This window comes from Homo sapiens, chromosome 2 (assembly GCF_000001405.40).
Source record: "Homo sapiens chromosome 2, GRCh38.p14 Primary Assembly".
In the NCBI taxonomy this organism is placed as follows: Eukaryota; Metazoa; Chordata; class Mammalia; order Primates; family Hominidae; genus Homo; species Homo sapiens.
Window position 1 is genome coordinate 230,964,552 of NC_000002.12, and position 15,900 is coordinate 230,980,451.

The 15,900-nt window shown below is 42.8% G+C and overlaps 4 annotated features.

Moving 5' to 3' along the window:
* Positions 9,570-9,619: an enhancer, noted in NCBI's record as "active region_17268". NCBI's record gives its function as "activates an Ori minimal core promoter by ATAC-STARR-seq in GM12878 lymphoblastoid cells {active_cell/tissue: GM12878}" and the evidence as "EXISTENCE:reporter gene assay evidence [ECO:0000049][PMID:35858748]".
* Positions 9,740-9,879: an enhancer, noted in NCBI's record as "active region_17269". NCBI's record gives its function as "activates an Ori minimal core promoter by ATAC-STARR-seq in GM12878 lymphoblastoid cells {active_cell/tissue: GM12878}" and the evidence as "EXISTENCE:reporter gene assay evidence [ECO:0000049][PMID:35858748]".
* Positions 11,294-11,413: an enhancer, noted in NCBI's record as "active region_17270". NCBI's record gives its function as "activates an Ori minimal core promoter by ATAC-STARR-seq in GM12878 lymphoblastoid cells {active_cell/tissue: GM12878}" and the evidence as "EXISTENCE:reporter gene assay evidence [ECO:0000049][PMID:35858748]".
* Positions 12,518-12,567: an enhancer, noted in NCBI's record as "active region_17271". NCBI's record gives its function as "activates an Ori minimal core promoter by ATAC-STARR-seq in GM12878 lymphoblastoid cells {active_cell/tissue: GM12878}" and the evidence as "EXISTENCE:reporter gene assay evidence [ECO:0000049][PMID:35858748]".

Genomic DNA, 15,900 nt, shown 5'->3' on the forward strand with positions numbered 1-15,900 from the left:
ACCCACCCGGAACTCGCGCTGGTCCGCCAGCACCCCGTGCAGCCCCGGTTCCCACCCGCGTCTCTCCTTCCGCGCCTCTCCCTCCACACCTCCCCGCAAGCAGAGGGAGCCGGCTCTGGCCTCAGCCAGCCCAAAGAGGGGCTCCCACACAGTGCAGCGGGAGGCCGAAGGGCTCCTCAAGCGCGGCCAGAGTGGGCGCAGAGGCCAAGGAGGCGCCGAGAGCGAGCGAGGGCTGCCAGCACGCTGTCACCTCTCAATATGATTGTTTTGAAATGATTATCCTTGGCTACAAGAGTCAGTAACAAAGGTGATGCCTGTCCAAGGTTGAACATTTAGCTTTGCTGGGCAGATTTCCTTGCGGAAGTATTTTTTTGTGTAAGGTTACAATGGCTTTTGTGCAAGGTTTTGGTTTTTACAGAGCCTTTTGTGATAGTTTTGTTATCACACCAGTCACACAAAGACAAATACTGTATGATTTCACTTCTCCAATGTCCTAGAGTAGTCAAATTCACAGAGATGAAAAGTATAATTAGTTTTTGTTTCATGGCTATAGAATTTCAGTTTTCCCAGGTGAAAGAGTTCTGAGGCACTCTAGTATGGATCGGTCTCCCAGATGAACTCATCGTGGGTGGTGGTGATGGATGCACAACAATATGACTGCCACTAAACTATACACTTAAAAATAGTTAAGATGGTAATTTTTACGTTATTTATATTTCACCACAAAAAGAATGTCTAACTTTTAAAAAGTAAATAAATGAAAGAAGTAATGGGATGCATCGTACCATACAAACTCTAATCAAAGAAAGGTGGGGCAACTGTATTAATTGCAGATAAAGCAGACTTCAGAACAAGGAAAATTATAAGGGAGAAAGAGGAACATTACATAGTGATAAAGGGATCAATTCCCCAAGAAAATAGAATAATTCTTAACATATATGTACCTAACAATGTCAAAATATGTAAGGCAAAAACTAGTAGAATTGCAAGGCAAATTAAAATATCCATTCTTATAGTTGGATACCTCAACATAAGAGATCAGTAGCTGACATATCCAATAAGGATATAGCTGAACTGAACAGCAGCATCAATCAACAGGACATAATAGACATTTATAAACAAATTCATCCAACAACAGTAGAATACACATTCTTCTCATGCTTACCAGAAATATTTACCACAATAGACCACATTCTGTGCCATATATGGAACATAAACATGTTTAAAAGAATTGAAGATGCAAAAATCCTCAATGAAATGGTAACAAATCTTTCAATAATGTCAGATTTGTCCAACACTGAGATTTATTTCAAGTATGCAAATCTGACTCACATTCTTAAATCAATTTACATAATTCATCACATCAACAGGCTCAAAAAGAAAAATCATATGATCACATCAATAAATGGAGAAAAAGCATCTGACAAAATTCAATACCCATTCATGATAAAAATACAACCCAAAATCTTCAGCAAACTAGGAATAGAGAAGAACTCCCTCAACCTGATGAGGAACAGCTACAAAAAACCCCTACATTTAACGTTAGACTTAATGGTGTAAAACTAGATGTTTTACCGTAAAATCATGAACAAGTCAAGGATGTTCTCTCTCACCAGTCCTTTCTATATCATACTGGAATTCCCAGCTAATACACTGCATTGTAAGGCAGTTTCATTGTGTGAACATTGTAGGGTTCCTACAATGGCATAGCCTACTGCACACCTGGGCTATACGTGTTAGCCTACATGGCATAGCCTACTGCACACCTGGGCTATATGGGTTAGCCTGTTGCTCCTAGGCCACAAGCCTGTGCAGCATGTTTCTGTACTGAATACTGTAGGCAATCGCAACACAATGGTGTATCTAAACATAGAAAAATATCGTTCAAAATATGGTAGGAAAAATAAAAATATGGTACACCTGTGTAAGGCGCTTACCATGAATGGAGCTTGCAGGACTGGAGGTTGCTCTGGGTGAGTCAGTGAGTGGTTGGTGAGTGAACGGTAAGGCCTGGGACATTACCGACCACTGCTGTAGACTTTGTAAACACTGTACATTTAGGCTACACCACGTTTATGAAAAATTTGTTCTTTCCTCAAGAATAACATAACCTTAGCTTACTGTACTTTTTTTATTTTACAAACTTTTCAATTTTTAAAAACATTTGGACTTTTTTATAATAATACTTAGCATAAAACACCAACATATAGAGCTGCACAAAATATTTTCTTTGTACCCTTATTCTATGAGCTTTTTTTTTTCTTTTTTTCTTCTCTTTTTTGAGGTGGAGTCTCCCTCTTGTCGCCCAAGCTGGAGTGCAATGGTGTGTCTTGGCTCACTGCAACCTCTGCCTCTTGGGTTCAAGCCATTCTCCTGCCTCAGCCCCCCAAGTAGCTGAGATTACAGGCATATGCCACCACGCCCAGCTAATTTTTGTATTTTTAGTAGAGACGGGGTTTCACCATGTTGGCCAGGCTGTTCTCAAACTCCTGACCTCAGGTGATCTGCCTGCCTCGGCCTCCCAAAGTGCTGGGATTACAGGCATGAGCAACTGTGCCTGGCCAAAAATAAAGTCTTTCTGTAAAGCCACCATAAGCAGTCAAAAGATAAATGCCAAACTGAAAGAAAAAAAAAAAACTTTTCACCACTTATATACAAGCAAATCAGTGAGAAAATGCTAACAACCCAATAGAAAGGGGGCAAGGAGGACATGAACAGACAGACGGTTCACAAAAAAAGAAATACAGTGATTTTTAAACAATAGAAAATTGCTCAACCAATGTCACTCTTTCTCTCTCTTTCTTTCTTTCTTTCTTCCTCCCCTCCCCTCCCCTCCCCTCCCCTTCCTTTCTTTCTCTCTCTTTCGGCAGGGTCTTGATCTGTTGCCCAAGCTGAAGTGCTGTGGTGCCATCACAGCTCACTGCAGCCTCTACTTCTTGAGAGGCTCAGGTGATCCTCCCGCCTCAGCCTCCTGAGTTGCTGGGACTAAAAGTGAGTGCCCCCATGCCCGGCTAATTTTTGTGTGTTTTGCAGAGATAGGGTTTCACCATGTTGCCCAGGCTGATCTCAAACTCCTGAGCTCAAGAAATCTGCCTGCCGTGGCCTTCCAAAGTGTTACGATTACAGGCGTGAGCCACCATGCCCGGCCTCAGTGTCACTCTTAATAAGAAACATACAGGATTAAAAGTACACTGAGGTACCAGTTTCATCTTATCAGATTGGCACCCATTCAAAAGCTTGACAGCACATGATGTGAGTAAAGTGGGAAATGGCACTCTCAAGAATCATCGGTGGAAATGTAAATGGGTACAATCCTAGTGGGGGAAATTTTGGTAATATTAATCAAGATTATAGCTGTGCAGGCCCTTTGACCCTACAGTTCTACACGAAGAATGCATCCTGGAGATATACTCACGTGTGGAATAACAAATCCACAGTTATTTACTGCAACATTGTTGATAACAAAAAGAGCAGAAACCACTCAATTGTCCATCATTAAGAGATTGGTTAAAAAACGATGGGACAGCCACGTAACGGAATACCATGCAGCTGCAAGGAAGAAAAAGGAAATGCTTTATGACCAAATGTAGGACAAGCTCCAAAATATATTGTGGAAAGAAAGCACAGAGAAATGTGTATGGTACACTATTGTTTATGTAAAGAAAGAAAGAAACCAAGGCCTTATTTATCCTTATTTGCTTGTAGAGGTACTGTACGGACAATCTCTAAAAAAAAATCTTTGCAAGGACACATAAGAAGCTGGAAGCCCGGTTGCCTTCAGGGAAAAAGAAAACAGGAACCCTGAGGACAGAATGGGAGGGATACCTATTTTGAATGGTATACCTTTTTCAGGTCTTTTGGATTTTGTACTGTTGGGTCTGTGGTAGTTCTTTTGTTTGTTTTTGGGGCGTTTCAGCAGTCTCCCAGGCTGGAGTGCCGTGATGCAATTATGGCTCACTGTAGCCTCGACCTCCCAGGCTCAAGCAATCCTCCCACCTCAGCCTCCCAAGTAGCTGAGACTACAGGCACATGCCACCTATCCTGGCTTTTTTTTTTTTTTTTTTTTAGAGACGGGGTCTCACTATGTTGCCCAGGCTGGTCTCAAACTCCTGGACTCAAGGGATCTGCCTGCCTCAGCCTCCCAAAGTGCTGAGGTTACGGGCGTGAGCCGCTGTGCCTGGCCTATGTTGGCTCTTTTCTCCTCTGCAATCTGGGGACACAGGCCAGACCCTGAATGAGGCTGCAGCTGCTGCAGCACTCTGACAAAAAGAGAAATCCTCACGGATGATGATGGTGGCCTTAGGGCACCTGTCAGCACAAAAGTGCTTTTCATAAGCACTAGTCATCTTCTCTGGTTTATAAGACAGGGAGTCGCAAGAGGGAGAAGATGGCTCCCATGGTGTGGGAGAGAGAAACTAAATCAAATAGGCCCACGGGTCCACCCACGCCCACTCACGACCTGGAGAGCCTGCAGTGGTCCATGCTCTACCACCCAAGGGGTAAAGCTCAAACGCCTCTGCCCGGCATCCTGAGACCCAGCTCCCAAGCAGCTTTCTGGTGCTCCCTTCCTCTGTTCTTCAGGTGGGCTGCACAGAGCCTACACCACTTTTCAACTTAGCCTCAGCATTCAGGGAAGTCTGCTTTTCAGCTCCACCTTCTGCCTTGGGAAGGCCCGAGAGCCGACTGGCCACTTTGAGGCAGGAGACTAGGGTCTGGAGGCAGGAAACCTAAGGCTGATTCACGCTGACTTCCTAGAACCAAATTGAAAGGAAAACCCCAACTTTCCATACCTAAGTAGCAAAAGGACCAGGGGCGACTCCCTTTGAAAACCACCCACCCGTTTCTGCTGGAAAACTGAAAGTACCTCTGATTGGTTGCTTCCTGCAACCGATCAGATATTTGCATAGGAGTGTAACTTTGTAACTTCACTTCAGTCTCTGATGAGTTGCTTTCTGCAACCAATCAGATTGATTTCGGGCCACTACTTTATTTGCATGGGGTGAACACCATGTGGCCAATGGGAAACCTCTAGGGGGTATTCGGACCCCAGAAGATTCTGCAACTGGGCTCTTGAGTCCCTATGCTCGGGGCGCTCCCACCCTATGGAGTGTGCTTTCATTTTCAATAAATCTCTGCTTTTGTTGCTTCATTCTTTCCTTGCTTTGTTTGTGGGTTTTGTCCAACTCTTTGTTCAAAATGCCAAGAACCTGGACACCCTCCACTGGTAACAGCTTCACTGCCTTGAAGTCCATCAGGGACCAGGTGGCCACAGAAATGATCATGATATGGAGCCTGCATATCATCTGGAGTTACTCCAGCAAGGCAGGCCATTCCAATTCGGTGGTAAGGCTGCATATTCACTTTGAATTATAGTTGAGCATGTGAGATGTAACGAGGAGTGAGAAAATATTATGTGCTTTAGGTTTTGAAGTTCTATCAGTCCATTGAAGTATAAATGCACCATTATTATTGCTGGAGCAAAATGTGCCAATAATTAGTGATGATTGTGAAAGGTATTTACTTTATGTACCAAAACAGTTATTAAGAGCTTCTCAACAGATAAATAGGGAAGTAGATTGATGGTTAAGATAATGTGTTAACTAGATAACTTTAAGAAGAACAATAGCACCTCTAGTACCAGCTACTCAGGAGACTGAGGTGGGAGGTTTTCTTGAGCCCAGGAAGTCAAGGCTGCAGTGAGCCAAGGTTGCGCTACTGCACTCCAGCCTGGATGACAGAGAAAGACCCTGTCTCACAAAAAAAAAAAAAAAGAAAAGAAAAAAAAGAGCAATGTATCACCTATGATGCAACACAATATAAAGATTTAAATGAGACTGTTAAGTATGATGACAGACATTAGACTTTATGACATCTAATCCTTATAAAAATTATTTGGTGTACTTGCATTTGTAATATTAAGCTAAATAAACTTTAGGATGGCTATTTAATTCTTAGTTACACAATTCAGTTATACATTTGGACCATAAGTCATTCCAGTAAGAGCCCAGTTTGGGAATTATTTTGTCGTTGTTGTTGTTGTTTTTGCTTTTGTTGTTGTTTGAGACAGGGTCTTGCTCTGTCACCCAGGCTGCAGTGCAATGGCATGATCATGGCTCACTGCAGCTTTGACTTCCTGGGCTCAAGCGATCCTCCCATCTCAGCCTCCTGAGTAGCTGGGACTACAGGTGCACACCACCATGACTGGCTAATTTTAAAATTTTTTGTAGAGATGAGATCTCACTATGTTGCCCAGGCTGGTCTTGAACTCCTGGGCTCAAGCAATCCTCCCATCTCGGCCTTCCAAAATGTTGGGATTACAGTCATGAGCCACCATGCCCAGCCTGGGAATTCTTTATATCTCAAACTTTTACAAGGAAGAAAAGTTTCAAAATCATGTAAAAAAAAAATCCGTGATGATATCTGATAAGGAATTAATATCCAGAACATATAGAGAACTCCTAAAACTTAAAAACAACAACAAAAACAAACAACACAATACAAAAATGAACAAAGAACTTGAATAGATATGTCTCTAGAGAAGAATGGCTGGCCAGGCATGGTGGCTCATGCCTGTAATCCTAACACTTTGAGAGGCCAAGGTGGGAGGATCACTTGCAGCCAGGAGTTCAAGACCAGCCTGAACAACATGGTGAAACCCCATCTCTATAAACAATTTGAAAATTAAAAAAATTAGCTCGGTGTAGTGGCACATAGCTATACTTCCAGCTACTCAGGAGACTAGGCAGGAGGATCACTTGAGGCCAAGATTTTGAGGCTGCAGTGAGCTATGATGGTGCCATGCACTTCAGCACATCACTAATTAGAGAAATTCAGATCAAAACCACGAGATGCCACTTCATACCCACTAGAATGGCTATTATAAGAAAGAAAGAGAGGATATTGAAGAATTGGAATCCTTGTACTGATAGGAATGTAAAGTGGTGCTGCCACTACTGGAAACAGAATGGCATTTTCTCAAAAAATTCAAAATAGAGGCCAGGCGCGGTGGCTCACACCTGTAATCCCAGCACTTTGAGAGGCCGAGGTGCATAGATCATGAGGTCAGGAGTTCAAGACCTGCCTGGCCAAGACGGTGAAACCCTAAAAATAAAATAATTATTTTTTATTAATTATTTAGTTAATTAATTAACTAAAAATACAAAAATTAGCTGGGCGCAGTGGCAGGCACCTATAATCCCAGCTACTCGGAAGGCTGAGGCAGGAGAATCGCTTGAACCTGGGAAACGGAGGTTGCAGTGAGCCAAGATCGCACCACTACACTCCAGCCTGGGCAACAGAGTGAGACTCCATCTCAAAAATAATAATAATAAATAAAATAAAATAAAAAAAGAATTACCATATGATCCAGGAATTCCACTTCTGGGTGTACACTGAAAAGGACTGAAAGCAAAGCCACACACAGCTTTCTGTACACCCATGTTCATAGCAGCATTATTCACAATAGCCAAAAGGTAGGGGCAGCCCAAGTGCTTCTTCCATCAATGGATGAATGGATAACACATTGTGTTTATCCATTGATAAATTGCTGATATAGTTTTGGATCTGTGTCCCACTCAAATCTCCTGTCTAGTTATAACCCCCAGTGTTGGAGGCGGGACCTGGTGGGAGGTGATTGGATCATGAAGGCATAGTTCTCATAAATGGTTCAGCACTATCCCTCCTTGGTACTGTGTAATGAGTGAGTTCTCACAAGATCTGGTTGTTTAAAAAGTGTGCCGCACCTCCCCCCTCTCTCTCTTGCTCCTACTCCGGCCACGTGGTAAGTGCTGGCTTCCACTTTGTCTTCTGCAATGATTGTAAGTTTCCTGAGGCCTCCTGGAAGCCAAGCAGAAGGCCAGCATCATGTTTCCTGTACAGCCTGTGGAATCGAGAGCCAATGAAACCTCTTTTCTTTATAAATTACCCAGTCTCAGGTATGTCTTTTTTTATTCTTTTTTCCTTTTTTTGAGACAGGGTCTTGCTCTCTTGTCCAGGCTGCAGAACAGTGGCATGACACAGCTCACTGCAGCCTCGACCTCTCAGGCTCAATCGATCCACCCACCTCAGCCACCTGAGTAGTTGGGACTACAGGTATGGGCCGCTATGCCCAGCTAATTTTTTTTTCTCTTTTTGAGACGGAGTGAGCTCTGTCGCCCAGGCTGGAGTGCAGTGGCGCAATCTGGGCTTGCTGCAATCTCCGCATCCCGGGTTCACGCCATTCTGCTGCCTCAGCCTTCCGAGTAACTGGGACTACAGGCGCCCACCACCACGCCCAGCTAATTTTTTGTATTTTTAGTAGAGACGGGGTTTCACCATGTTAGCCAGGATGGTCTCAATCCTCTGACCTCGTGACCCACCTGCCTTGGCCTCCCAAAGTGCTAGGACTACAGGCATGAGCCACTGCGCCCGGCTTATGCCCAGCTAATTTTTGTATTTTTTGTAGAGATGGGGTTTCACCATGTTGCACAGGCTGGTCTTGAGCTCCTGGACTTAAGTGATCCTCTCACCTTGGCCTCCCAAAGTGCTGGAATTACAGGCATGCACCATCGTGACTGGCCCAGTATCAGGTATTTCTTTATAGCAATGCAAGAACAGACGAATACACACGCAGTGGAGTATTACTCAACATTACAAAGGAAGGAGATTCTGACCCATGCTCTCATATGGATGAAACTTGGAGACATTATACTAAGTCAAATAAGTCAATCACAAAAAGAAAAATACCGTATGATTCCACTTAAAGAGGTACCTAGGGTAGTCAAATGCATAGACATAGAAATTAGGATTATGGTTGGTTGCCAGGAGCTGGGGGAAGTGGGGGATGGGGAGTTGGTGGTGGTTGTACTAGGTGAACATAACTTAATTCCACTGAACTCAACACTTACAGTGGTTACAATGGTGAATTCTAGGTTATGTCTATTTTACCACAATTTTTAAAAATAATTTAAAATCCATGATAAATAGAGTGACCATATAGTTTATTGTCTAAACTGGGACACTTTGGGCAATGAAAGTGGATGCTTTTAATAACTACACCTCGATCCTAGGGGTTAAAGAGACTGCCCTAGGTAGCCTGGGGGTTCCCCAAAATAGTCACTTCTCCACTTACTTCAGTTGAAAGTGTCTTCTTCGCCTGGTAAATATTCAGTACAGTAGCTATGGAAGAAATGTCACCATGAACGGTGCCAAGATATAATTATTCCTGTTCTGGAATGTCAAACTTTAACATTTTGGCCACAATATTCTCTTTTGATCACATTGTCATAATAATTTTGGGATAAAGTGGATGTATCCAGAAGTCCATTCTATGTTGGGACACTTGGCATTGCTCCATGCTTGTGTGGGGGTGGCACCTTTACCTCCCTGCCTCAATCCTCCCCTTCCCTCCCACTGTCCCCTTCCACCTATCCTTTCAGGTAGGTCTTACACAAATGGCCCCTCCTCTGTCCTGTCTTTCCTGATCCACCCTGTGGCATTTCTCCACTTCCAAACTTCTCTGGTGCTTTTACTTGGCGTCAGGTGACATGCGATAAGACCTGGATTAATTAGTTAATGTTAATAACATCTGCTTGACTGCCAATCCTGAAAAATACCGTAATTAACATCATCAACCAGCCATAGGGAAACCACCTTGGACCTCCCCGTGTAAACTACTTTGGGCAGTGCCTTGGGTTTTTCAAGAGTTTGTCAGGCACTTGAGGTTGAGGCTCGAAGAAAGAATATTATTTGATTCTTAGCCATGGTGGGAACCGACATTTATCTAAGTGTTTTTCATAGACAGGAAGTGGTAATTCTCACCCTCCCTGATCTGGGCTCTGACTCACTGGGGTGCCCCAGCCTCTGGGCCTGGGCTCACTAGTGGTAGCCAGCTGACCTGAGCATCAGAGTAAGATGCGTGCCTGAAAAATTCCCCTGGTGGGGCCGGTCATGAAAAGTGCCGTTCTCCTCATTCATGTGGTTTTGTCAGGATGCCCGGATTCCGCAGGCCCGGGCCAGTTATTTTGAGCACACAAGTCACTTTAAAAGACCCCTAAAGGTCACTGGTCCCAAGGATTATTTCACCCCCTCACCACAGTTAATGTCGTCTCCCCACCTCTGTTTTTCTGTATTCCCATAACACATTCTGAGTGTGGCTATGTGATGTAAAGAGCTGTTTTCATGCAAATGTTCAGGGTAACATCATGCATAGTGTCTTAGTTCATCTCCTGCCGCTATACCAAAATACCACAGACTGGGTAATTTACAAGGCACAGACGTTTATTTGGCTCATGGTTCTGGAGCTGGGAAGTCCAAGAGCGTGGTGCTGGTATCTAGTGAGGGCCATCCCATGGCGGAAGGCATCACGTCGTGAGAGAGAACACACGCGAGAGGAAGGAAAGAGGGGCAGAATTCCCTGATTTTATATCTAAGTCACTCCTGTGACAGCTAATCCAGTACCCCAATAATGGCCTGAATCCACTCATGAGAGCTGTGTTCCCATGACCTAATCACCACTTAAACGTGCCACTTCTCAACATTGTTGCACTGGCAATTAAGTTTCCAACACATGAACTTTGGGGGACACATTCAAACCACAGCACTTAGAATATAACAGGATTGCCCCCCTACAGCCATGAGTCCCTTGGATCACCAAGTTAATGTAACAATAACAAAGTCTAATATGATTTACAGGAAATTGGAAGCTTTAAGTAGCCTCGTGAAGCCAAAGGGCAGCATTAGAGCATATCTTTTGACACCCGAAGCTTGTGTCAAAAAGGGTATTAACAGTTGACCGCCTCACACCCACGAGGATGACTATAATTTTTTAAATGGAAAATAACCATTGGCAAGGATGTGGGAAAACCGGAACCCTCCTACTTTGCTTGTGAAAAATGTAAAACGGTGCAGCTGATGTGGAAATCAATTTGTTGGTTCATCAAAAATTTAAACATGGGGCCAGGTGCAGTGGCTCACGCCTGTAATCCCAGCACTTTGGGAGGCCAAGGCGGGCAGACCACGAGGTCAGGAGTTCGAGACCAGCCTGGCCAACATTATGAAACCCCGACTCTACTAAAAATACAAAAATTAGCCTGGCGTAGTGGCACATGCCTGTAGTCCCAGCTACTCGGGAGGCTGAGGCAGAAGAATCGCTTGAACCCGGGAGGCAGAGGTTGCAGCGAGCTGAGGTCATGCCACTGCACTCCAGCCTGGGTGACAGAGTGAGACTTTATCTCAAAAAAAAAAAAAAATTTAAACATGGAGTTTCCATATGACCCAGAAGTCCCATTTCTAGTATGTACCCAGAAGAATAGAAACACAGGTTAAAACAGTGACCAAAATGTAAAAACAGCCCAGCTGTCCATAAGCTGTAAATGGATAAACTAGACTGTAGTACATTCATAAAACGGAATATTTCATCATAAAAAGAAGGCACTACCAACGCATGCTGCAGCTTGGATGAACCTAAGTGAAAGAAGCCAGACACAAAAGGACACATATTGTATGATTTCATATGTATGAAATATCCAGGATAGGCAAATCCATTCGAGACGGAAAGTAGGTTGGTGGTTGCCAGGGCCTGGGGGAGGGGGAAATGGGGCGTGGTTTTTTAATGTGTATGAGGTTTCCTTTGGGGGTGATAAAAATGTTATGGTTGAATGAGACGGTGAACGTACTGAAGCCACTGGATGTACACTTTAAAATGGTTAAAGTGGGCCGGGTGCGGTGGCTCTGCCTGAAATCCCAGCACTCTGGGAGGCCGAGGCAGGTGGGTCGTCTGAGGTCAGGAGTTCAAGACCAGCCTGGCCAAAACGGCGAAACCCCACTTCTACCAACAATACAAAAATTACCTGGGCATGGTGATGCATGCCTGTAATCCAAGCTACTCGGGAGGTTGAGGCAGGAGAATCGCTTGAACTCGGGAGGCCAAGGTTACAGTGAGCCGAGATTGCGCCACTGCACTCCAGCCTGACAGAGCAAGACTCTGTCTCAAAAAAAAAAGAAAGAAAGAAAGAAAGAAAGAAAAATAAATGGTTAAAGTGGCAAATTTTATGCTATATAAATTGTGCCTTAATTTTTGAAAAGTTTACACTTTGAGTGAGGCAAGTGTTTGGCACAGAAACCACTTCTCTCCTGGCAACACTTCATAATCCTCCAGTGGCAAAGCCCCTCTCCGCAAACCCATCTCTCAAGCCACGCACGTCCCAAGAGACACAAGAACACTAGAGGCCAGACAGGAGGGGACAGCCTGCATTGTGTCCTTCACCCTTATTTGGACCTTCGCCCTATTGCCTTCTCACACTCTCAGAATCCAGAGGTCATGCCAGTTCAAAAGGAGCCGGTATCATGGAGACTGGGGCTCAGAAACCAATACCCCCAAATATGGCTCTGTGACATGCTGAACTGAAGAAGAAGCCACAAGATTTCTCTGACCTCCCCCAACCCCCGCCTCTGTCTCAGTCTGTCTCTCTCAAAGCACAGAATGAGGTTGTTCTCTGAAGTTCCCTTATCTGCCTAAAGCCCAGACTCACTAAAGAAGAAAACAATTACTCCTGGTCCCTTCCTAAATTTTCATGAACTGAACTCATATCCAGGAAGAAAGACTGACATCTATCAACACAGCTAGGCAGACTTTTGTCACAAACCGTTGTATACTCTGCAGGCACAACAGACTTTGTCCCAGGCCATTGTATGTTCTTCAAGCCCATTGAATTTCTCTAAAAATCACTTAAACTAAAATCATCCACACTGCCCCATCTCCCTTTCCCCTAAGAAGAAGGGTATATAAGCATATGTACCCCGCTGGGTTATCGAATAATCACTCTGCTACAGTTCCCCATGCTTGACACGTTAAAATAAATTCATAGTGTTTTATCTAATTAACCTGCCTTTTGTGAGTTGATTTTTGTGCAAACTTTCTGAGAGCGAAGGGGAAGTTTTCACGGGTATTGCATGGTCTTCTGAAATAACTAGCATTAATATAGATTAGACAAAAACCAACCCTGAACAGGTTCCATGTGACAGCAGAATGTTCTGAAATGGGAAGGAATGAATGTGAGCATGAGAGGTCTGTGTGAACGGATAATGAGGTTCGGGGTAAGATGCAAAGGAGGATATATATTATACCATCTTTCATATGGAAAGAAGAGAAAATGAATACGTGTATGTGTTATTTTTGTGAAAAGAAATACAGTATTAAACAGACACTAATGGAAGGCATTCACCGTGGAGGTGGGAAGGAATGGGGTAGAAGGGATAGGAACGGCAGTGAGGCTTCTCTTGTATATCTCATATCATTGTCACTTTTTATTTTTTTATTTTTTCAGAGACGGGGTCTCGCTCTCTCACCAAGGTTGGAGTGCAGTGGCTCACTGGAGCCTCAGCCTCCTGGGCTCAAGCAATCCTCCTGCTTCAGCCTCCCAGTGGCACACGCCACCGTACCCAGCTATTTATTTATTTATTTATTCATTTATTTATTTATTTATTTATTTTTGTAGAAATGAGGTCTTCCTACGTTGCCCAGGCTGGTCTCAAACTCCTGGGCTCAAGCAATTCTCCCACCTCGGCCTCCCAAAGTGCTGGGATTACAGGTGTGAGCCACTATTCTCAACCCATTTTTACTTTTTAACTACATAAATGTTTCACGTATTTTAAAAATAAAATTAAATGTTAAAAAGGTGGGATAAAGAATACCCTACAATAGAATGCAAAAGAAGGAAATCAAACTGATAACGCCTCAAACTGATACCACAACCACACAGAGCAAACACTCTGATTGTGGAGAAGGATCTGTTCTAAGAACAGAAGAACTATAGAAAAACTTCTATTTAGTATGTTTACTGTTAGCAGTAATATTGGTCTTGTAATTCTGAAACTCTTTTGTGCATGTATAGTGGAAAGCAAATAAGCAAATATATATTTTACTGACGGGGAAAAAAGATACTAGTAGTCAGTAAAGAAGTGAAAGAAAAACTGTAATGTTAAATTTGAGTAGGAAATATATCAGTTTGAACTTGTAATTTTTTTTAAAATGAGTTTTCTAATCCTGTCCACTGAATGACAGCCGAGTAGCAATGATCGCATATATCACCAGGTTCTTTCTTTCTCTATACCATTCACCACTAAAGGCACCAGGGCTCGTTAGAGAAATGGTAGATTCTAGGTCAGGGGTGAAAATGTACAACGTGAGCATGGAATCTCTTGTCACACCAGAAAGCAAAACAGTTTTGGAAGATAAATGTGATCATGTCAAAAGGATTCAGGAGCTGACCTGAGGGCTCCCACTGCTCAAATGTGGGATGATTTGAACATCAAAATGAATAACTGTAGTTTCAATTATAGCATTTTTAAAACTCCACGAACCCACAGTGATTAATGTTTTTAATATAGTGGGATTTGGAAATTCTTACAGAAAAAAAGGCCAGCTAGTAAATGTAGCAGGAATAAAAGAATGAAAAACTACCATTTTCCAACCTCCAATGTAATGCTTCCTTCAGGTAAGCATCACCAAGAGTTGCCAAAACTGTTTGGTGACTTGGATATTCAGTTAATCCTGTGACCATGTGAAGATTCTAAAAATTACTTACAAAAGGGGAAGCAGAGTGAGGATTAGTGATCAAACTCAGAATGACCAAGAGTGGCTGACATTATGTACTCCAGATGTGATGCCTGACATTATTTACTCCAGATGTGATACCTGACATTATTTACTCCAGATGTGATACTGACATTATGTACTCCAGATGTGATACCTGACATTATTTACTCCAGATGTGATACCTGACATTACTTACTGCAGAAGTGATACTGACATTATTTACTCCAGATGTGATGCCTGACATTATTAACTCCAGATGTGATGCCTGACATTATTTACTCCAGTTGCGATACTGACATTATTTACTCCCGATGTGATACCTGATGTTATTTACTCCAGATGTGATACTGATGTTTTTTACTGCAGATGTGATACCTGACATTATTTACTCCAGATGTGATACTGACATTATTTACTCCAGATGTGATGCCTGACATTATTTACTCCAGATGTGATAACTGACATTATTTACTGCAGATGTGATACTGACATTATTTATTCCAGATGTAATGCCTGACATTATTTACTCCAGGTGTGATACTGACATTATTTACTGCAGATGTGATACCTGACATTATTTACTCCAGATGTGATATTGACATTATTTACTCCAGATGTGATACTGACATTATTTACTCCAGATGTGATACCTGACATTATTTACTCCAGATGTGATGCCTGACATTATTTACTCCAGATGTGATACTGACATTATTTACTCCAGATGTGATACTGACATTATTTACTCCAGATGTGATACTGACATTATTTACTCCAGATGTGATACCTGACATTATTTACTCCAGATGTGATAACTGACATTATTTACTCCAGATGTGATAACTGACATTATTTACTCCAGATGTGATAACTGACATTATTTACTCCAGATGTGATATTGACATTATTTACTCCAGATGTGATGCCTGACATTATTTACTCCAGATGTGATGCCTGACATTATTTACTCCAGATGTGATGCCTGACATTATTTACTCCAGATGTGATAACTGACATTATTTACTCCAGATATGATACTGACATTATTTACTCCAGATGTGATACTGACATTATTTACTCCAGATGTGATACTGACATTATTTACTCCAGTTGTGATGCCTGACATTATTTACTCCAGATGTGATATTGACATTATTTACTCCAGATGTGATACTTGACTGAGAAGTCTACAGTGGCACCTATGCAGTACAGAACTCTGGCCAAAGATATTCAACCTGCATCTAATCTTGTGTAAGCAATCAGATTAACCCACATATGGGACACTCTACAAGACAACTGTCCTGGACTCTTTATCAAAAACTAAT